Source organism: Homo sapiens, chromosome 22 (genome assembly GCF_000001405.40).
Source record: "Homo sapiens chromosome 22, GRCh38.p14 Primary Assembly".
Taxonomy (NCBI): domain Eukaryota; kingdom Metazoa; phylum Chordata; class Mammalia; order Primates; family Hominidae; genus Homo; species Homo sapiens.
In genome coordinates, this window is record NC_000022.11 from 33,036,406 (window position 1) to 33,058,381 (window position 21,976).

Here is a 21,976-nt window from a genome sequence, read left to right on the forward strand (position 1 = left end):
TGCCCTCCCTGTGTTTGCCTAAAAGCAGGACAGAAATTTGCAAAGCTGATCCCCTAAACCTCCAGCAGAAAGGACAGAAATTAATCACTGATAACTTTAAACCCTCATCAGCCCAAGGCACCAGAGGCATCTATATAACGAACTTTACTGGCTTCTATCAGCTTCCCCATATATTTACTTTCCACAATTTGCTGCCCTGGAAATTCAAAATCCTTTTCTTTGTCTTGTCCCTTGTCTAAAAAAATTTTTTTAAATGCTGTAAAGCCCAAGTTCTTTTTTTTTTTTTTTTTTTTTTTTTTTTTTGAGACAGAGTTGCGCTCTTGTTGCCCAGGCTGGAGGGCAATGCCGCGATCTCGGCCCACCACAACCTCCGCCTCCCAGGTTCAATTGATTCTCCTGCCTCAGCCTCCTGAGTAGCTGGGATTACAAGTATGCACCACCACACCAGGCTAATTTTGTATTTTTAGTAGAGACGGGGTTTCTCCATGTCGGTCAGGCTGGTCTTGAACTCCTGACCTCAGGTGATCCGCCCACCTCGGCCTCCCAAAGTGCTGGGATTATAGGCGTGAGCCATCATGCCCGGCCAAGCCCAAGTTCCAATCACCCCTTTGAGTTACTGAACTCCCAGCGCTTCCAAGTGTATGCACAGCTGCACTTAATAAATTAAGTATATGCACCTCATAAACTTCTGTTTGTTTTTCTCTTGTTAATCTTTCATTAGTTTATTTACAGGGCCGCAGCCAATGCACCTAAGACAAATAGCAGAAAAAGTGGGTTTTTTCCTCCCATGTATGGCAATCCTTTGTTATTATCTCTGCTTCACATATGGAGAAAACTAAGGCTCAGAAAGGTGGCGTCACTTGCCCGCTTGCTGCCCAGATTTTTTGGGCCCAGATGTTCTGGCTCCAAAGTCTGAGCTCCTTTCTCCCCATACAACCTACCACTGGGCTTCTTTCCTCATTTGAAATTGAGGGGCTCAGTCCTGAAGAACTCAGGTGCCTATCTTGATTCTCACTTTCAAGAGCAAGAACCAGACCCAGAAAAGTATTTTATTTCTCTGCTTTCCTTTATCCTGATTTCTAATAGTGTTTGTCAAACTATATTAATCATAGTCTGTTGCATTCTTGTACATGCCAGGCACTTGGCTAGGCAGTTTCCCTGCACTCTCTCTAGTGTTTCCAGCAATCCAATGAAGAAGCTTCTGTTATCCTGATTTTACGCTGAAGCATCCGAGACTCAGAAAGGTTCGGTAATTTGCCTAAGGTAACCCAGTGAAGAAGCCACTGGTGGGACTGCAGAGTCTAGAACTAACAGGCTTTTAACTACCACTCCTGCCTGCTTGCCTGTGTCTTCTCCCCACATTCCCACAGTGTCTGAGCTCCTCCAGAGGGAAAGGAAGGTGTTACCTGCACCTCCAGCTCTAGCAAGAGGCTGAGAAAATGCTAGATGGATTAATACTGAATTAACAAATAAGTAGATGAAAGGCAGGAAAGAAAAGGAGAAGAAAGAGAAAAAGAAAGGTAAAAATTAGGATGGAAGAAAGTAAAGAAGAAAAATGCAGTGAATGAATAAAATAAGAATGCATGAAGTTAAAAAAAAAAAGGAATAAAAACAAAAGATCGAGAAAATGAAACCAGAAAAAAGAACTAGATTAAAAGAATACCCAGGCAATCCGGTGCCCTGCTGGCTCTCTTTCTCATCAGGGGCTGCTGCCTCCCAGGCTCCCCACCAAAAGCTGCTTCCTGAGCCCTGGGAAGTGGCTGGGATTTTGCCAAACAGCAGTAATGCCCCCTTAGGCCAGGCACCAGGATCCCTAAGGTTGATGGCACGCCATAGGCAGAGGGAAGCAGAGCCTTCACATCCTGGCATCAGATTCCACCAAAAGATCCCTAGCTGCTGTCACTTGCAGGCAAGGAAGGGATTTTTCACAGCCAGGATGGGGATTACTGCTGCGGCGCTGCCTCCTCCAGCTCTGCAGAAAACAGTCATTCCTGCTGCACTGTCTGGTTGAGCTGCTGAAGAAAAGCCGACTTGCCTTCCAGCCCACCCACGCTCTCTTAACCTCCACTGTGAGCTCCGATTGAGCAATTCTCACATCCTTTCCCCCAGGGTCCAGACCTGCTTAGGGACACAATCCTTCTCAGAATGGCAGAAAAGCAAGCTCTGGGGGCCTTCAAGAAAGCCTCTAGGGCCACAGAACTGGGCATGACATCAGGACCCAAGACTGCCCCATCCCCAGTGTGCTGCTGCACCCTACTTTATTAAAGAGGCAGACAGGAGTGGAAGGAGAAATCCAACGTTCCTGGAGCCCCTGCCACCAAACCCAAGGCAGCCAGTCATCCTATTTTACAGAAGAGTCAAGTTGGAAATCTTAAGAGTCAGATTAGAACTGAGCAGCTCTCGCACCCCTAAACTGTGCCATGATTAGCTGAGGTAGTGCACTACAAAACCCTGGCCAAAGGATCCCTGAGCTGCAGGCGGAAGCCCCGGGGCTGTTCTGGGGCTTCTGCATCTCTGCTCCAAGTCCCTGGCACTCTGTTCTGCAAAACCTGCAACAGCAGAGCGGAGAGTTCTGGGCAGGAATTCCTGCTTCAAGTCCTCCAGGGCTCATCTCCCAGGGCCCCTTCTCCATAAAGCCTTTGAGATGCCTCCATCTGACTCATCCTCAACATTCTGAAGATGAGCTATTCAGCAAGGACTCTGTGCACCAGGCTCCTGGCAATCCTGGGAGATGGGTGTCACCAATCCTATCGTATAGATAATGACATCAACACTTAACAGGGTGAGAAAGCATGTCTAAGGTCACCCGGGCAGTACGGTGTGGAGCCAGCATTCAAATTTAGGTCTACTTAACCCTAAAGTCCATGCTCAAAGCTACTATGCCATGATGCCTCCAGGAGGTGTTTTAGCCTGTATATTTTTATATTTATAACATTCTCTTACTTCCTTAAGCTCTTTATTCAAATGTGACTTTTTTTTTTTTTTTTTGAGACAGAGTCTCACTCTGTTACCCAGGCTGGAGTGCAGTGGCATGATCTTGGCTCACTGCAACCTCCGCCTCCTGGGTTCAAGCGATTCTCCTGCATTCAAGCGATTCTCCTGCCTCAGCCTCCTGAGTAGCTGTGATTACAGGTGCCTGCCACCACATCCGGCTAATTTTTTGTATTTTTAGTAGAAACGGAGTTTCATCATGTTGGCCAGGCTGGTCTCGAACTCCTGACCTCATGTGACCTCATGTGATCCGCCCACCTTGACCTCCCAAAATGCTGGGATTACGGGCGTGAGCCACCGCGCCTGGCCTCAAATGTCACCTTTTTAAAGATGGTAGCCCTCCTCTCAACACCCCTCTCTCTTTCCCTGTATTTTCTCTGTCATACCCATTATCTAACATATTATATATTTACTTTTGTAGTGTATTACTTCTGTGCCCTTTCAACTTGTATGTGACCTAAACAAAGACAGGGATTTTTGCTTATTTTTTTCACTGTCATACATCCAGCACCTACCAGAAAGTGTTAGCTCATAGTAGATGGTCAAAAGATATTTGTGAAACAAAAAACCTGAGTGGCTCCATCTCTTGTATTATCACTGGTTTCTTAGATGTCTCTAGATTATACACTTTTTTTTTCTTTTTTTTTTTGAGATGGAGTCTCCCGCTCTGTCGCCCAGGCTGGAGTGCAGTGGCGCGATCTCGGCTCACTGCCCGCCACCACACCCAGCTAATTTTTTTTGTATTTTTAATATATATTTTTTGTATTTTTAATAGAGATTTTTGTATTTTAATAGAGATCCATGTTAGCCAGGATGGTCTCAATCTCCTGACCCCGTGATCTCCCGCCTCAGCCTGATTATACACTTTTTAAGGACAGGGATCCTACCAAATTCACCTCCATTCAGCCCCATAACAGAGAAAATGAGTTTATTCTGAGAGTGTGGACGAATGAAAGGGATGCTTTGACCCTCCCTTAATCTCTCTCAATCCCTAGCTCAAACATGCATCATGCCTTTCATGGACCACAGCAAAACTATGCATCCACTGCTCTCCATGCATCCAATTAGTTCTCCTTCAAATCCACTTCCATATCACTGACTGTCACATTTTTTTCAAACGTAAGTTTAACCACATCATTCCCTACTGAAACACTACAGTTGCTCCTCGATATATGTCTGATATGGTTAGGCTTTGTGTCCCCACCCAAATCTCATCTTGAATTGTAACTCCCATATCCCCCATAATCCCCATGTGTCAAGGGAGAGACCAGGTGGACGTAATTGAATCATGGGGGTGGTTTTTCCCATACTGTTCTCGTGATAATGAGTGAGTCTGACAACATCTCATGGTTTTATAAGCGTCTGTCATTTCCCCTGCTTGCACTTCTCCTTCATGCTGCCTTGCGAAGAAGGTGTTTGCTTGCCCTTCCACCATGATTGTAAATTTCCTGCGGCCTCCCCAGCCATGCTGAACTGTGAGTCAATTAAACCTCTTTCCTTTATAAATTGCCCAGTCTTGGGTATGTCTTTTTTTTTTGAGACAGAGTCTTGCTCTGTTGCCAGGCTGGAGTGCAGTGGCATGATCTCGGCTCACTGCAACCTCCAACTCCCTGGTTCAAGCGATTCTCCTGCCTCAGCCTCCCGAGTAGCTGGGATTACAGGCATGCGCCACCATCCCCAGCTAATTTTCTTTTGTATTTTTAGTAGAGATGGGTTTTCACCATGTTGGCCAGGATGGTCTCGATCTCCTGACCTCATGGTCTGCCTGCCTCGGCCTCCCAAAGGGCTGGGATTACAGGCGTGAGTCACTGGGCCCAGCCTGGGTACTCCTTTATTAGCAGCATGACAGTGAACTAATACAATGTCCAAAGCTCCCATGTAGCACTAGGAACTCTTTCTTTTTTTTTTTTTTTGAGACGGAGTCTTGCTCTGTCGCCAGGCTGGAGTGCAGTGGCGCGATCTCGGCTCACTGCAAGCTCCACCTCCCAGGTTCACGCCATTCTGCTGCTTCAGCCTCCCGAGCAGCTGGGACTACAGCTGGGTGCCCGCCACCACACCCAGCTAATATTTTTTTGGATTTTTAGTAGAGATGGGGTTTCACCGTGTTAGCCAGGATGAGTCTCGATCTCCTCACCTTGTGATCCGCCCGTCTCGGCCTCCCAAAGTGCTGGAATTACAGGCATGAGCCACCATGCCCGGCCTGCACTAGGAACTCTTTCTAACCTGTGCCAGCTTCATCTCCCACTAGGGCATCCTTGCACAGTAGCTCACTGACACTTATCCTCTTACCTGCCATGCATGTCATGCCTCTGCACATGCTGTGTCTGCTTCCTGGAATGCCATCCTTTTTCATTCACTCCAAAATCCCTCCCCACCCCATTGGATTAATGAGCTCCAAGCATCTTTCAAAACCCAGCTCAGATATTAGCTTGCTCAGGAAGCCTCCCAGGTACTCCCTCTCTCCCCCTGCCAAAGGAAAGCTCAAACCTCTCTCCCAGATCATGCTGTACTCCTGCATTACCTGGAGGACTGCTGTGCAGCAAACTAAACCACTCAGCTGCTAAGGACTGAATGTGTGTGTCCCCCAAATTCATATGTTAAAACCGCAATCCCTAACGTGATGGTATTTAGAGATGAGGCCTTTGGAAGCTGATTAGGTCACAAGGATAGAGCCCTCATGATGGGGTTAATGCATTTACAAGAAAAGACACAGAGGTCGTTTCCTCTCTCATCTGCAAACCAGGAAAAAGGGCCCTCAAGCAGAACCTGACCAGTCTGGTACCCTGATCTCAGACTTCCCAGCCTCCCGAACTGTCTCTTGTTTAAGCTACCCAGTCTGTGGTAGTTTATTATAACAGCCCAAACTGACTAAGAGCCAACACAGTTGAGAACTTGGAAATAAAAGTGTGGGGGTCAGGGGCAGGAAAGGCCCCCAGACCCACCTGTCTACAGCACCTCTCTCTAAACCTTACAAAAAGAAGCAAAGCCCTTTAGTCACATGATTCTTCCTTAGTAAACAATACACGTATATTTCATCATTTGTTTTCCCAGACTTTAGCCAAACGGACGTGGTAAATCAGAAAGAATCTTGCTGGAAGAAAGTACACTGGCTGCTTGAAGAGAAAGTGGAGAGAAAGATTTTGAAGAGCTCTAAAAACATAGTAATCCAGGGCCCTTTCTCGTAACAGCAAACAGTCTCACATAGAACAACCACTCTAAAGGGCAGTTGACACTGGGTCCCACCTGCTCCTGTCCCCAGCATGCTGCTGCACCCTACTTTATTAAAGAGGCAGCCAGGAGTGGAAGGAGAAATCCGACGATCCTGGAGCCCCCCGCCACCCAATCCAAGGCAGCCAGTCATCCTATGTAACAGAAGAGTCAGGTTAGGAATCTTGAGTAGGAGTCAGGTTAGAACTGAGCAGCTCTCCCACCCCTAAACTGTGCCATGATTAGCTAAAGTAGTGCTCCATGAAGCCCTGGCCAAAGGATCCCTGAGCTGCAGGTGGAAGCCCTGGGGATGTTCCGGAGCTTCTGCCTCCCTGCTCCCATGATATTCTCACACTTCCTACTGCTCTTTCAAGTCTCACAGGCCATATACCCTTTTGTTATTAACCAGACAAGAAGGAAGAAAAATAGAAAGTTTCAACCCAAGGACTAACATCAAAAAGAAAAATCTTTAGAACATAAAAGTGTATTATTGAAATAGTCCTTACTGGGACTAACTCTAAGAATACCACATAAGCTAGTGACTGGTCTATAGTAAGTACCTTATGTATGTTGTTGCTGCTGCTACTGCTTCTCCTCCTTCTCATACTCTAAAGATGCCCCTACAAGGTTAGTGCGGCATACTGTTTAAAAGCACAAGCAAGAGCTGGGCACAGTGGCTCACGCCTATAATCCCAGCAGTTTGGGAGGCCGAGGTGGGCGGATCACCTGAGGTCAGTAGTTCAAGACCAGCCTGGCCAACATGGCGAAACCCCGTCTCTACTAAAAATACAAAAATTAGCTGGGTGCGGTCACGGGCACCTGTAATCCCAGCTACTGAGGAGGCTGAGGCAGGAGAATGGCTTGAACCCGGGAGATGGAGGTTGGAGTGAGCTGAGATCACGCCATTGCACTCCAGCTTGGGCAACAAGAGTGAAACTCCATCTCAAAAAATAATAATAATATAATAAATAAAAGCACAAGCCATGAAGTCAAAACTACCTGGGTTAATATCCCAGCAATTCTGTTTCTTAGCTCTGTTACATTGGGCCAGTCATTCATCCTTCTGTGTCTTTGTTTGCTCATCGTAAAACAGAGATAATAATTCTAACTCGTCCATAAGCTTGTGGTGAGAATTAAGTGAATTAAGCCACATAAAGTGCATTGAACTGGGTCAGGCGCAGTGGCTCACGCCTGTAATCCCAGCACTTTGGGAGGCCGAGGCAGGCAGATCATGAGGTCAAGAGATCGAGACCATCCTGGCCAACATGGTGAAACACCGTTTCTACTAAAAATAGAAAAATTAGCTGGGCGTGGTGGTATGCACCTGTAGTCCCAGCTACTCGGGTGGCTGAGGCAGGAGAATCGCTTCAACCTGGGGGGCAGAGGTTGCAGTGAGCCGAGATTGTGCCACTGCACACCATCCTGATGACAGAGTGAGACTCTGTCTCAAAAAAAAAAAAAAGTGCATTGAACTATGCTTTGCACACAGTGAGGATGCAACAACCTAGCAGTTAGGCCACAGGAAGATGTGGCTGCAGCATGCTCGAAAAGTGGGCAGGATGATGTACAAAAAGAAGATGTGGAGTCTGTGAGCTTCAACGCAGGCCCAAAGCGGTACTAGGTACAGTGCGTTCTTCCACCAATCTTCTGCCAACACACCACCTCCAGCCAGCTGGTTCACTGTAGCAGTAGCTTTCCTCAAACATGCCTAGTCACGTGAGACTTTGACAGCACAACAGACATTCTGTCCACGTGGCTCTTGGACTGCCTGGTGTATTTCACCATGGCAGGCCCCCTGTTAATAACTGAGGAGCTGATGAATTGCTTCAATCACTTTAGACTCACAGACTCATTGAGCACAGGAGGTCAAGTGACTCCCATCCCATCCCTAAACAGACACGTGCTCTTTGATCAATCCTCATCACCTCACCCAACATAAGCTTATTCTAGCCTCTAGCCATTCTCTAACCTTATTCCAGACCTTCGCTTCTGCTTGTGCCTCTGCCTGGTTGTCATTTCTCCAACTTTCTCCAAGTCGGAATTCCTACTAAATGCTGAAATCCCATTTCAAACATCACCTTTTCTGTGAACTCTCCCCAGCTCCCCCTAGGGTTTCTCATAGTGGTTTCAACCAATCACCTACACAGAATTATTTCTGGTGCTTGCTAACTACAGGTCTCCTACTTGAGGGATCAGGGCCTAGCCACCTGCATTTTTAACAACCTTCCCAGATGATTCTTCTTTTTTTTTTTTTTTGAGATGGAGTTTCGCTCTTGTTGCCCAGGCTGGAGTGCAATGGCATGATCTCGGCTCACCACAACCTCTGCCTCCCGGGTTCAAGCGACTCTCCTGCCTCCGCCTCCCAAGTAGCTGGAATTACAGGCATGTGCCACCACACCCGGCTAATTTTTGTACTTTTAGTAGAGACAGGGTTTCTCCATGTTGGTCAGGCTGTTCTCGAACTCCCAACCTCAGGTGATCTGCCCGCCTTGGCCTCCCAAAGTGCTGGGATTACAGGCATGAGCCACCGCGCCCAGCCCCAGATGATTCTTAAATACATTACAGTTTGAAAGCAGCTGTCCAGACAGCTAGCCTTGCAAACCTGACACTTAGTAATTTGGCCCTCACCTCTGCTCCCCTGATACTTTGCACATGACCTGTGACAGCACACCTGGCTGTGTTCCAGGTGAACTGCTTAGAGTAAATCTCCTCTCTCCAGACTGGGAGCCACTTGAGGATAGAAACCTTGCCTGATTTATATTTAAATTCTCAACATCTCCAGGTATGTTACTACTCTCACCGTCTCTTTTCCCTCATATTCCACATCTCATTCATCAACCAGGTGGCTCTACTTTCTTTTTTTTTTTTTTTTTTTTTTTTTTGAGATGGAGTCTCGCTCTGTCGCCCAGGCTGGAGTGCAGTGGCATGATCTCAGCTCACTGCAAGCTCTGCCTCCCGGGTTCATGCCGTTCTCCTGCCTCAGCCTCTCCTGGGACTACAGGCGCCCGCCACTACACCCAGCTAATTTGTTTGTATTTTTAGTAGAGACAGAGTTTCACCGTGTTAGCCAGGATGGTCTCGATCTCCTGACCTTGTGATCCGCACACCTCGGCCTCCCAAAGTGCTGGGCCTACTTTCAAAAAAGAAATTCTTTTTTAACCACTTCTCACTTCTTTCACCCCAAGGACCTTAGTCTAGCCCATCATCATCTCTCCCCCATTAACTACCACAATGACCCACTCACTGATCCTATAGCTCCCACCTTTCCCCCACTATGGCTCTCTTAATACACAGCATTCAGAATGATTCTCTAAAAACATGTCAAATATTTGCAAGTCACATATCCAAGAAAGTACTGGTATATAAAGAATGCTAAAAGCTCAACAATAAAAAAAGCAATTAAAAAAAAAAACAAAAAACGTGTAATAGACCTGAACAGACACTTCGCCAAAGAGAATATAGGAATGGTAAATATACACTTGAAAAGATATTCAACATAATTAGCAAATTAGGGAAATGCAAATTAAACCATTGAGATAGCACTAAACTATAAAGACGGCTAAAATAAAAAATACCAACCACGCCAACTACTGATTCCAATGCAGAGCAACTGGAACTTTCATACGTTGTTGATGGAAATGCAAAATGACATGGCCACTCTAGAAATTAGTTTGGAAGTTTCTTATAAAGTTAAATGTAAACTTAGCACATATCCTAGCAATCCAACTCTTGGGTATTTACCTTAGAGAAGCAAAAACTCACATCCACACAAAAACCTAAATACAAATGTTTATAGCAGCTTTAGTCACAATCCTTAAAAACTAGAAACAACCTGGCTGTGTGCAGTGGCTCACACCTGTAATCCCAGCACTTTGGGAGGCCGAGGCAGGCGGATCACAAGGTCAGGAGTTCGAGACCAGCCTGTCCAACATGATAAAACCTCGTCTCTACCCAAAATACAAAAAATTAGCTGGGCGAGGTGGAATCCCAGCACTTTGGGAGGCCGAGGCAGGTGGATCACGAGGTCAGGAGCTCGAGACCAGCCTGGCCAACATGGTAAAACCCTGTCTTTACTAAAAATACAAACAAATTAGCTGGGTGTGGTGGCAGGCATCTGTAATCCCAGCTACTCGGGAAGCTGAGGCAGGAGACTAGCTTGAAGCTGGGAGGCGGAAGTTGCAGTGAGGTGAGACCACACCACTGCACTCCAGCCTGGGCAACAGAGCAAGTCTCTGTTTAAAAAAAAAAAAAAAAAAAAAAAAAATCCAAACTCCTTTCCACAGCCCATGAGTTCCCACCAGGCCTGGCTTTGGGAACCTCTCTGAAGACATCTTCTCCAACTCTCCCTTCCCCCACCTCTTACCTGTCCTGAGGTCCATCTGCTGTTCTCTCTGCCAGGTACTCTTTTCTACAGGTATTTCCAAAACTCACTCCCAAACATCACGGCTCTACTGAAATATTTACTCCTTACACAGGTCTTCTTTAACTGACTTTTCTATAATAGTATCTATAATAGTATTTCCCTCATACTGTTTCGTTTTTCTTCATGGCACTCATTACTAAGTGGCATCATATAATATATTTGTTTTGTGGTTATTTTCTACCTTTCCTCTGAGAATATAAGATGCATGAGGGTAACCTTATCTGTACTAGTCACCAATACATCCCCAGCACTTAGAATCTGCCTATCACAGGATTAAAACTCCATAATATTTGTTGAATGAATGAATGAGCACACCCAAGAGACGAACACTCAATAATGAAACTCCCAATGCTTTCAACGTGGAGCCATACTTTGACTCAAAAATTTCTTTGTATCACCCCTCAAATCACCTGCCTACGTGGCCCCTGAGTAAAGCAGTCCTAGCCCCGAACATTTAATTCAGCTGTTGGTGCTTTCAAAAAATGTGTTAAGTTCAACATCTCCCTTCTAAGTGCAGCTTTCTGGTGCTTGATTAGAAAACTGGCAGGAGGTGCCAGGCTATAAGGACAGCATTCTTAGAGTAATGTCATGTGGGGTTTCCTGAGGGCTTGCAGAAAGCTATCCAGAAGTGCCACTAATGTGAACAAAGAAGTTTGAGGTAAGATTGAAGAAAGAAAAAAAAAATAATAAAAACACCTCTCTGTAACACCTTTCCAAGGAGAATGAATACATGAGCATTTACAGAACACCTGCTCTACAGGTTCCTGGCACTCTGAGGGTTCTCTCTTAATCCTCTTATCCTTCAAGGTTAGACCTATTAGTCCCATTTTCATGTGCAAAAAAAAAAAAAAAAAAAAAAGGAACCAACACAGAGAGGTTAGGTAACATGACCGATGTCACACAGCGATGTCTGGCATTTTGAACTCAGGTCTGTGTTGCCTTCAACTCCATTCTTTTTCCACTTTGGACTTTAGAAGCAATATTCAGGGGCATGAGAATGAATACTGTCCGGAGGAGGCAGGCAGAACATGCCAACCTCAAGTAGAAAACACCGACCAACACCTGGACACTAGTGGCCAGTTTCTTCTCTAAAATGTTTCAAAGACCAGCATGGACCAGTCTGCTGAAGCAATATGCTGATTACCTTCCAGCAAATATTACTGAACACCTACCATACAGCAACATTTCCTGGGCTGGAGGTTTCCACATATATTATCTCATTTAATTTTCATTATTGTTAAAAAAAAAACTATTAACGTGATATAATTTGGATGTTTGCCTTCTCCAAATAGCATGAGGGTATGGCAACACTGCATCTTATTCATTCTTTAGGTTCTAAACCCATAGTATGGTGTGAAAATCATGTGTAGCTAAAAATACCCTCAAAAATATTTTTGAAATGTGATCCCCAGTATTGAAGGTGGGGCCTGCTGGGAGGTGTTTTGGTGATGGGGGTGGATCCCTCATGAATGGCTTGGTGTCCTCCCCTTGGTGATGAGTGAGTTCTTGCCCTATTAGTTCACACAAGAGTTGGTTGTTAATAGGAGCCTGGCACGTACTCCTCTCTCTGTTGCTCTCTCTCTCACCATGTGATATGCCTGTTACCCCTTCGCCTTCTGCCATGAGTTAAAGCTTCCTGAGGCCTCACCAGAAGCTGAGCAGATGCTGGTGCCATGCTTGTACAGCCTGCAGAACCTTGAGCCAAATAAACCTCTTTTCTTTATAAATTACCCAGTCTCAGGTATTCCTTAATGGCAATGCAAAATGGACTGAAACAACATGTATGAAGGTATTAGAGGCTGTTTATCCAAACTGAATGACGGAAACCTTGCAAGCAAATACATACTCCTAAGAATTCCCTCTCCTTCACCCCATGCCCTAGAGATTTGACAGTTACCTTAAAAACAGAGCAGCATGAAGATGCAGACAACTTCTTTTTTGACCTTCTTTTTCTACTTCTTTTGCTGTAGGCCAGAGTTTTGCACACTGGATAGCACAGGGAATTACTATTCAGGGTTTCATACACAAAAACCATGTATAATGCAACTTTCTGACCATTAAAATATATTTAGGGTATTTTTGGCTACACATGATTTTCACACCATACAATGGGTTTAGAGCCTAAAAAATGAGTAAGACACAGTGTTGCTGTACCCTTAGCTTCCTCTAATTTACTCCCGCTTGATAGATAATCAAGAAATGTTAGCTCTAGAAAGGAAGTTACAGATTGCCAAGTTCCACTCCTTGCCAGGGCTTCAATGATGACAGGGCCTTGGAAGGTGGGCTCCCCCTGCTGGACAACTCCACTACCAGCACGTTCTTCCTCTATCTGCTATCGGCTTTTCTCCAAATTCCACTGCTGCAGCTAGCTTTGCCCTCCAGCCCTGCAGAATAATTATAACTCCTCTTTCCTATGATAATAATTTGAATTTCTGAAGCCTGTTATTTGGGTGAGACTTTCTTAATGCTATAGTGATCATGAAAAGGGTCAAGTATCTGCACTGTGCTTTTTAATAACCACGGGATGGTTTTTATTCTGGGTGCTCGTCCAAGCTATTGATACCCGCCTCCCCATTAGGCAGCTCCACCAATTAATTAAATTCAATATTTTGGGAGCTACGCTCTGGAAGCATGCCTCTTAGTCGGGAAGACAAAGAACAAAAACCACACGGCATGTGGCAACTACTCTTACAGTGGCACAGATTCGGTGCCAGCCGCACGCAGGAGGAAAGGGTCAGGGTCTCAGCCCATCCATTGGGAAGGACTGCTAACCTGTGAGCTAGAAGACCCCAGGAAACACAGCCTGAGCCTGCTCAAGGAAAGTGACCAGGTCTCATACTCAGCTTGCCTGTTGCCCTCTGTGTCTCAGACACCAGCCACAAAGCCAAGCAGAGGAGGTTTTCCATAAGCCTACTCCAATCTTTTGGCACTGGAAAGGGGCCTGGAGGTGAGAATAACTAAATGCAACTCACTCACCCCATGTGTCTCAAATGAATGAGTGTTGTTGTTTTATTTTTTCTTAAAAAAAAAAGTTATAAAAATACAACTCCAAACACCTAAGACAGGGAGTCTTTGTGTCCATTTCTTCCCATCTGTCAACTCATCAAGTGACATGAAACAAATCCCCTAACTTCTGTGGACCTCCATTTTCTCAGCTACAAATTGAGGGGCTTGGCCAGGCACAGTGGCTCACACCTGTAACCCCAGCAGTTTGGGAGGCTGAGGCAGGTGGATCACTTGAGGTCAGGAGTTCAAGACCAGCCTGGCCAACATATTGAAACCCCATCTCTACTAAAAATACAAAAAATTAGCCGGGCGTGGTGGTGCACGTCAGTAGTCCCAGCTACTCGGGAGGCTGAGACATGAGAATCTCTGAGCCTGGGAGGTGGAGGTTGCAGTGAGCTGAGATCATGCCACCGCACTCCAGCCTGGGTGACAGAGCGAGACTGTTTCAAAAAAAAAAAAAAAAAAAACAAAACAAAGCAAAACAAATTGAGGAGCTTGATCCAAAGAACTGTAAGATCCCTTTCAGAACCAGGGTCCTCCAATCTTCTGTGGTCCCAGACAGTGAGTGGATAAGCTACAGTGACCTGGCTGAGCTAGTTTATCTCAAAACCAGCACATGACTTCTAGTACAGAAACAGCATGCAAGGAAACAAAGGCAGACAAAAGATTCCTGCTCCAGCCCCACCATTATCCTGCCATGGATCCCTCCCTCAGTACATCTGCCTGCACAGCTCTAAATACCAGCCCTGCCACTGAGCAAGTGGATCATCTTGGACAAGTCACTCAACCTCCTTTAGCCTTGATTTGCACATCTGCAGAGTGGGGTTAATTTTACCCACTACCAGCGCAGCTCGGATGATGAAATAAATTAAAACCCGTATAAAGCACCCAGTACCTAGAGGACATATGCCGTGTATCCCTTTATTCAAACATTCTTTACCCACTGAGCCCACTTCATCAACATATTCAAATTCCAAAGGCTTATAGTAATCTGAAGCCCAGGTGGCCAGACCTAGAAGGGCTGCAAAAATCAGCAAGTCCAACTCCTTTCTACCTCTGCGATTTACAAGGGAGAGAACTGAGGCTCAGAAACGTTCGGTGACTTGCTCAAGGACCTACATCAGCAAGCCTGGCCTAGAACACAGGGTGGCAAACACCAAGGACCACACAAGACACAAAGATAACCCTTTGTAGGCCTCATTCTCCAAAATTGAGAACCCATCACTTATAACCCAATTCTGAAAAATTAAAAATAGAAAAATTTTCTATTTCTGTATATCTTTGGAGGACCGCAAGAGATAGCCAGGATCGCAGTGTGTCTATGAAAGGCAAGGATTTCTTGAATTACTTATGAAATGAAGGTCAGTGGTTCTTGCTAGCAGTTTTCCTCAGCTGCTCTGCTCCCCTCTCCCTTCCCCACATCTACTCATTTCAGTTTACATCTTGAGGCACACATGCCTACATTGGGACCCTTTCTGGACAAGGTGAGAAGTTTTAGGTAGAGGCAATAATCCATTTCCCATTAAACACAAACAAAAAAAAAATCACAGTTACACTATCCATAATACAAAAAGAATTCCTCTCCTCACCCCTAAGAGCCCCAGCCTGGGACACCTAGAAAAGTGCCCAAATACATTAAGGCACACAAACAACCAAGGGTCAGGGACCCAAAGGTCCCCCCAAATGACATGATCAAAATCCATGAGACCATTCAAGAGTCTCTGGAGAAACCTCAGCCCAGATTCTACAAGGGCCACTGGACTGAGCCGGAGTGCTCTAGAGGGAGCTCAGACAATATAAGGAGGAACCAGATTAGAAGTGGTTTCAGAGATACAGGGATAACCTGACGAGCTCCCCTCCTGCCCAGATTCCCAAAAGAAAGCGTGTATCTTCAGGGAGTATCTGACAGAAAGCTACACCAAGAACACGCTTCCTTGTAGCTCCTGGTGAGCACACTCCCTAGACAGTGTCTGCTAAAACTTGGATTAGGAAGGCCCTAATCCAAGCCTCACATCGTGCACTTTGGCAAACAGACCCAGAGAGGGAGACCATCCTGCCCAAGCTCATATCACAAGTCAGCGGCAGCCACTGGCTTGAGCTTGCACCTGACCTTCAGTCTAGAGCTAGTCCTCCCCGCACCCCACGGCTCCTTCCCACCAGGCCCACTCCCTCTTCCAAAACCTTGGGCTCACCTCCTGGTTCTAAGGATTCTGCCAGGTTGAACAATGCTCAGAAGCAGGTGGCAGTTTAGCAATTCATTCAGAGGGACCTGGGGCTGTGCCCGTCCCCGGTGGCAAGGAGAGACTGCAGTAAGAGACTGCAGTGTGGAACTTTGAAATCTCTTCTCTAAAGAATCCTCCTCCTCCTCCTCTTCTTTCTCCTCCTCCTCCTCCTTCTCCTCCTCCGTAGTACTACGGACACATGTGCTCTGTTTGGGAGGAGGAAAGGAGGAGAGTATGGATGTGTAAGGAGAGTGTGGATGTTTGTTGGAAGGAGAAGGGCAACAATCTGCAGGGCCCTGCTGTATACTCACACCTAGCAGAAGAGGAACAAAAAAAAAAAAAAGAGAGAGAGAGAGCTCTAACTGCTTCCACAAAATTATTAACCCTTGTGCTCCAGCTCTGCTCCTCAAATAGCTGAAGCAAGAGAAACAATACACTTAACCAATGGAGCACCAGCCAAAGACATTACATCATCGGTCAGCACCGTCATTGGCTAATAATTCCTAGAAGGCAAAATTCTGCTTCTAGGTGCTTAACCCTTTCATGCTCATCAGAGCAAAGAGGATTTGGTCTAAACCAATGGTTCCTGAACTTGCTTTTATCAGAATCATCCAGGATGCTTTCTAAACATACAGATCATCATTTTTCATTTCAACCCATCTAAATCAGAACCTACAAAGGGAGCATGGATAGCTGTATTATAAATAGTGTACAGAGTGTGGCAACCACTGATCAACTCAGAAAGTCTTCCTCTCCAAACAAGATAACATTTTTCTGAGCATTTTTCATGTATCCAACACTTTGCTACATCATCTCATTTATTTCCTGCACTGAACAATGGCTCCATATCCCAAGTATAAAAAGTCAGGTTAAGAGAGGCTGAGTCGGCCGGGCGCAGTGGCTCACACCTGTAATCCCAACACTTTGGGAGGCCGAGGTGGGTGTATCACCTGAGATCAGGAGTTCGAGACCAGCCTGACCAACATGGTGAAACCCCGTTTCCACTAAAAATACAAAAATTAGCCGGGTGCGGTGGCGGGTGCCTATAATTCCAGCTACTCCGGAGGCTGAGGCAGGAGAATCACTTGAACCCAGGAGGCGGAGGTTGCAGTGAGCCAAGATCACGCCATTGCACTCCAGCCTGGGCACAACAGAGCGAGACTCCGTTTCAAAAAAAAGGATAAGTCAGTTGAGCAAGAGATGGAGCCTTGCTTTGAAAGACAGGCTGTTGGGACCCGACCTTGCTACCCTTTTGAAGCTCCCGCTTGAAGTCAAACCAAGCCTTTTATTTACTTATTGCCTCTAGAGTTACAGAAAACATAGACTCTCTTGATGAGTTGGAGAATGCCAGGAACCTGGGAGGAACGGGGAAATGAAGACAATGGTGGATTATTCTCTTTCTTGGGCTAATTCCCTCTGCTTCTGTTACAAATTCAGCTTAAACATCACTATCTCTTGGAAGCCTTCCCCAACCACCCGCCAACCCCCAAACCAGGGATAGATGCCCCTGCTCTGTGATCTTAAGGTCTCCTGGAGTTGTGGGCTGCAGTTTCCTGTTTACTGGATAAACTCCATGAGATTAGAGCCATGTCTACTTTCTCCACTAACATAAACCTGGACAGTGCCTGCCACGTGTGAATACTCAATCATGACCAAAAGATTTGGGAGAGAAAGTGTTTGCCGAAGTTCTAAATGGCATCACACTGAGATGGGAAAGACAAAGGATTGGAAGTCTGGAGACTCACAGGAACGAACTGATTTTGGGCAAGTTCGTTTGGACACGGGAGAGGGGGTTGGTGTCCTTATCTAAAAATGAGGACAATCGCATCTCCTATGAATAGTTATAAAGATCAAATTAAAGAATGATCCAAAGCTCTGATTTTCTCCTCCTCTCTCTCTCACACTCGAACTCATCCATTTTATTGGCTGACATCTAAGTGCTGACAACTGCCATATTTATATCTCCAGCCCAGACTCCCCTCCTCGACTCCAGACTCACAGCCAATTCCTGTCTCTATGTGGATGTTTTACGGGCATCTCCAAGAGGGTATTTGAATTGTATCCTCTAAGCACAACCTGCTCCTCGCCTAGTCTCTGTTATGTGAATAGTGCTCCCATCCACCCAACTTTTGTTTGTTTGTTTTTTTAATTAGGTGAAATTTACATAACTAAAAGCTAGCCATTTTAAACTAACAATGCGTGGCATTTACTATCCTCATGATGATGTACAAACTGTCGCCTCTATCTAGTTCCAAAACATTTTCATCACCTCAAAAGGAAACCACTTAGCCATTAAGCAGTCAAGCCCCAGTCCCACTTCCCCCTCAGATCAGCACAAACACCAATCTGTTTTCTGTCTCTATGGATTGACCTATTCTGGATGCTTCACATAAAGGGAATCATACACTATGTAACCTTTTGTGTCTGGCTTTTAAACCACGTTTTCACATAGCATTTTTAAGGTTCATCCACATTGCAGCATGTATTAGTACTTCACTCCTTGTTATGGCTGAGTAACATTCTATTGTATGTTATACTACATTTTGTTTATTCAGTCACTTACTGATGGAGCTGCCAGACTTTCAGTAGCCAACCAATCTGAAACCATAAGGCTGGCCACCATCCTTCATCCCCACCCTTTTCCCATATTCCCTGCATTTAAAGTATCAGCAAGTCCTGTCCATTTTGCTTCCTAAATAGAGCTCAAACCCTTTTACTTTTCTCCAACACTATTGCTGTCCTCTAGCCCAGACACCAATATATATCTCACTGAGCTTCCAACTGTGACAAGATCTTTCTTCTCTCTATTCCACTTCTCACCTGGAAGCTGAGATTGACTCCTTTTAAAACATAAACCAGATCATCCATTCATTTAAGCACTATTTACTAAGCACCTTTCTTCAAGGAGTTCTCCTCCCAGAGGCATAACAGACAACACACAAATATACACTATCACATCAGGCTTAAAATCCTTCAATGATTCGTTTGTTGCACTTTAGATAAAAATGTAAGCTCAGCATGGCCTCCAAGACTCCACTGCCTTCAAACTCATCTCGGGCCACTCCACACAATTTGCCCACTATGCGCTCCAACCACAATAGCCTCCATTCCTCCACCTCGCGGTCTTTGAATAAGCTGTTCTCTCTGCCTCTTGATCTTGGCGTTGCCGGATCTTTCTCATTCCCCAGATCTCAGTGTAAATATCACTACTTTGGGAGACCTTCCCTGACTACACTGTTAAGCACATCCACCCTTCATTCATTTCACTCATTTAAGAAATATGTGCTAAACCCTGTGGTAGGCTCTTGGGATGAAGCAATGTATGATCCCCTGGAGTCTGCAGTCTAAAGGGGAGGACCAACAATAGGAAAGTAAATAAAATAGATAAATGACTGTTACGAAGGGAGAATAAAAGGGAGGGAGTACAGAAGGCCTTTCCAAGAAGGTTATATTGAAACTGAAGGCAAGGAGTCAATTGGACAAAGAGCCTGTTATTCTCTATCACATACTGGCTATGCAATGCAATGTTCCACCCCTCAACACTTGCTTTTGATGAATCCAAGCATTTAATGTCTATCTCCTCTAATAGACTGAGCTTTCTCCCCATCACCTAGGATAGCGCCTACTCCTTAAGAGACACTCAATACACATTGATTGATTAATTAGTGGATGAATGAATGATTAATCAATCAATCCACCAATGAAAGCACTTTGGAAAGTGTAACAAATCATAGAGTTGTGAGTGATTGTTATTATTATAATTATTATTTTGTGGCAAAAGAACATCAACTTGGTTGGGTTTTGGAAGAGACTGGGTTTACTATAAAATGAGAATAAAAGTACCTAAGTTGGAGTATTATTGGACAACTAGAAGAGAATGTATATACATAATAGACACTCAAAAAAGGGAAGCAGTAGTCTTCGTGGCTATTATTATTAAAAGCTCCTCACAAAAGCTGACTCAACTCGAATTCCAAAACTCATTTTCAGGTGCAGTCATGAAACTTAAAGGTGAGAGAAATGAATACTTTTAAGATATCTACTATGCACCAGGCACAGTACAAAGCACTACTTCATTTGTGAGGTAGTGTAGTGGATACCGTGGGGAAATGCTCAACTCCCCCTCCAAGACCAAGACACTCATGACTTCCCCATGTCCAGCTGCCAGAGTGTTGGTTACCCCAGCTCCCAGGTGAGTCCCTAGTCAGGAACTGTCCTGCTGAAGGGACATCCTAGCTCCCTCCCTAGGACCAGCCTGCACCCACTGGCTGATCAACATTAAGCTTCAAAGGCCTCGTCTCTTTGTCTCATGGGAGGGATTGAGACCTCTCTTGCACTGCACCATAGATCAACATCTCCCTCTGCCCAGTTCTGCTTCCCTTATCTGCACAAAAATCTCAGAAGCGCCAAGTCTTTTTCCAGGGAACCCAAACCATGACAGGTGAGTACAATGATTTCCTTTTAAATCAGAAAAAGAAGGTTCATGAAGGTTGCTAATGTCCCCAAAGCCTATGGCTAAAGTGACTTTCTGGTCTGATTTCCCAGCGAGCCCTTGTTCTTTCTACTACACCAATCTACACACAGCCTTGCCTCCAATGGCTGAGACTGGATCTCTGTGAAACAGAAAGGGGAGCCCAGGCAGAGGGGAAGGGCACACAGAGGGCTTGAAGATGAGAAAAGAAGAGCAGAGGCACCCTTCAGAGGCCTGATGACAAGACTGAGGTCACAGGCTCCAGAAACAATATCAAAATGATGTGCAGGCTGCAGAAGCAAGCATTACACGGGCAGCATCTCTTTGCCTGAATCCATGTCCAGAAGCCAGGGAGCAGGGCTCCCGGGCAGAGGGGGCTCCCTTAAGCAGGGAAGAGTATTTGCAGCCAAGGACCAGAAAACAACTACAACTTACCAGCTTTCTGATGCTCCGGCCTCCATCCATTGTCCCCAGAGCTGCCAGAGGGACCTGATCACTGATCAGAATTCTTCCACGGCCCTCCTTCATTCCAGGATAAAATTCTAAATATTCTAAGGCTGCACTTTAAGGTCTGTGCAGGTTTTAGCTTCCTGCCATGTCGAGAGCTCATTTCCTACCTACAGCAAGACCCGGTCCTACTCCATTATCTGCTGTAGAATTATCTGATGTGCTAGGTCAGGACACCGGACCTTTTCAGTTTCTTTACCTTTACACAAGAAAACCCACCTGGAATTCCTGCTCCCTATCAACTCACAGTCCCAACACACTTTTCAGCCTGGCAAAACCTCCGACTTCCAGTCAATGCTCACCTCCTCTCTGAAACCTTCCTGGCTTCCTCACCGTCCTCTTCTCCATCTCGAGTCTTCCGCACTACCCTGCACTGCAATTGCTCCTCCTACTGTCCCTCTTAGCCCCAGAAGCTCCCCAAAGGCCATTCTTCATGCTGCTAGGGCTTGGCACAGTTCCTGGCACTCAGAAAAAGCCAAGTAAGTGCTGGATAGATACACGAGGTGCTGTATCCATAGCTATTCTCTGCTTCTAGCTTGGCCAGGAAACCACTCTGAAATTTCATCCTGCCCCCAGGATGACTGGAAATCGGAAATGGCATGACAAACCTGACCTCCCAAACCCAAGGCAACAGGTCATGAGGGGTCTGGGGACCTAAGGCAGGTCCTAGGAGCCGGCGCAGAGCAGAGGTCCGGCCGCTGCGGTTCCTGGTTTCCCGCAAGCTCTTCCCCGGGCCGGGCGCTGGGTGGAGGCAGTCTTAGGATCCACAGTCTTGCGCGCCCCCGGCTCCCGGGCCCGGCAGACGGCCCCCGCACGCCGATCTGTCTGTCCCAGGGACCGGCCCAGGGCCCCGGCAGCGGCAGCCTGGGGAGACACCGTGGTGCGCGGCTCCTTGCCTCCCTCCCTGCCCCTCCGTGCGCCCGCATCCCGCGGACACAGAGCCGGAGCTCCAGGGGACGCAGCCCGACGCGAGAACGCACCAGCAGCCCCCGCTCGAGGTGGGGTCTCCCGGCTGTCAGAAACCCCACAAAGTCTACTTTGCGGCGCCGCGCCGCTTACCGTGCGAGCCGCCAGGAACTCGGCGCCCGGTGGTGCCTCGGCGCGGCGCCCGCCAGTCGATCCGCTCCGGGTCCCGGGAGCTCAGCCTCT

At 46.2% G+C, this 21,976-nt stretch overlaps 1 protein-coding gene across 15 annotated transcripts in view, besides 2 other annotated features; it reads right to left on the reverse strand.

Annotated features, from left to right (window-relative positions):
• Positions 1-21,976, reverse strand: part of SYN3 (synapsin III) — a 550,562-nt gene extending 528,586 nt beyond the window's left edge. For 7 of the 15 annotated variants that reach the window (NM_001369909.1, NM_001369907.1, NM_001135774.2 and 4 more), the window contains exon 1: positions 21,887-21,976. The gene's annotated coding sequence lies outside the window, so the exon portion shown is untranslated. Of the gene's footprint in view, positions 1-15,819; positions 16,140-20,755 lie in introns of those variants that run through there. The other 8 variants (XM_047441525.1, NM_001369908.1, XM_017028963.3 and 5 more) reach the window with 4 other exon arrangements.
• Positions 15,816-16,499: an enhancer, noted in NCBI's record as "H3K27ac hESC enhancer chr22:33448207-33448890 (GRCh37/hg19 assembly coordinates)". NCBI's record gives its function as "activates a minimal SCP1, AML or CMV promoter by ChIP-STARR-seq in primed H9 embryonic stem cells {active_cell/tissue: H9 hESC(primed)}" and the evidence as "EXISTENCE:reporter gene assay evidence [ECO:0000049][PMID:30033119]".
• Positions 17,722-18,414: an enhancer, noted in NCBI's record as "OCT4-NANOG hESC enhancer chr22:33450113-33450805 (GRCh37/hg19 assembly coordinates)". NCBI's record gives its function as "activates a minimal SCP1, AML or CMV promoter by ChIP-STARR-seq in naive and primed H9 embryonic stem cells {active_cell/tissue: H9 hESC(naive and primed)}" and the evidence as "EXISTENCE:reporter gene assay evidence [ECO:0000049][PMID:30033119]".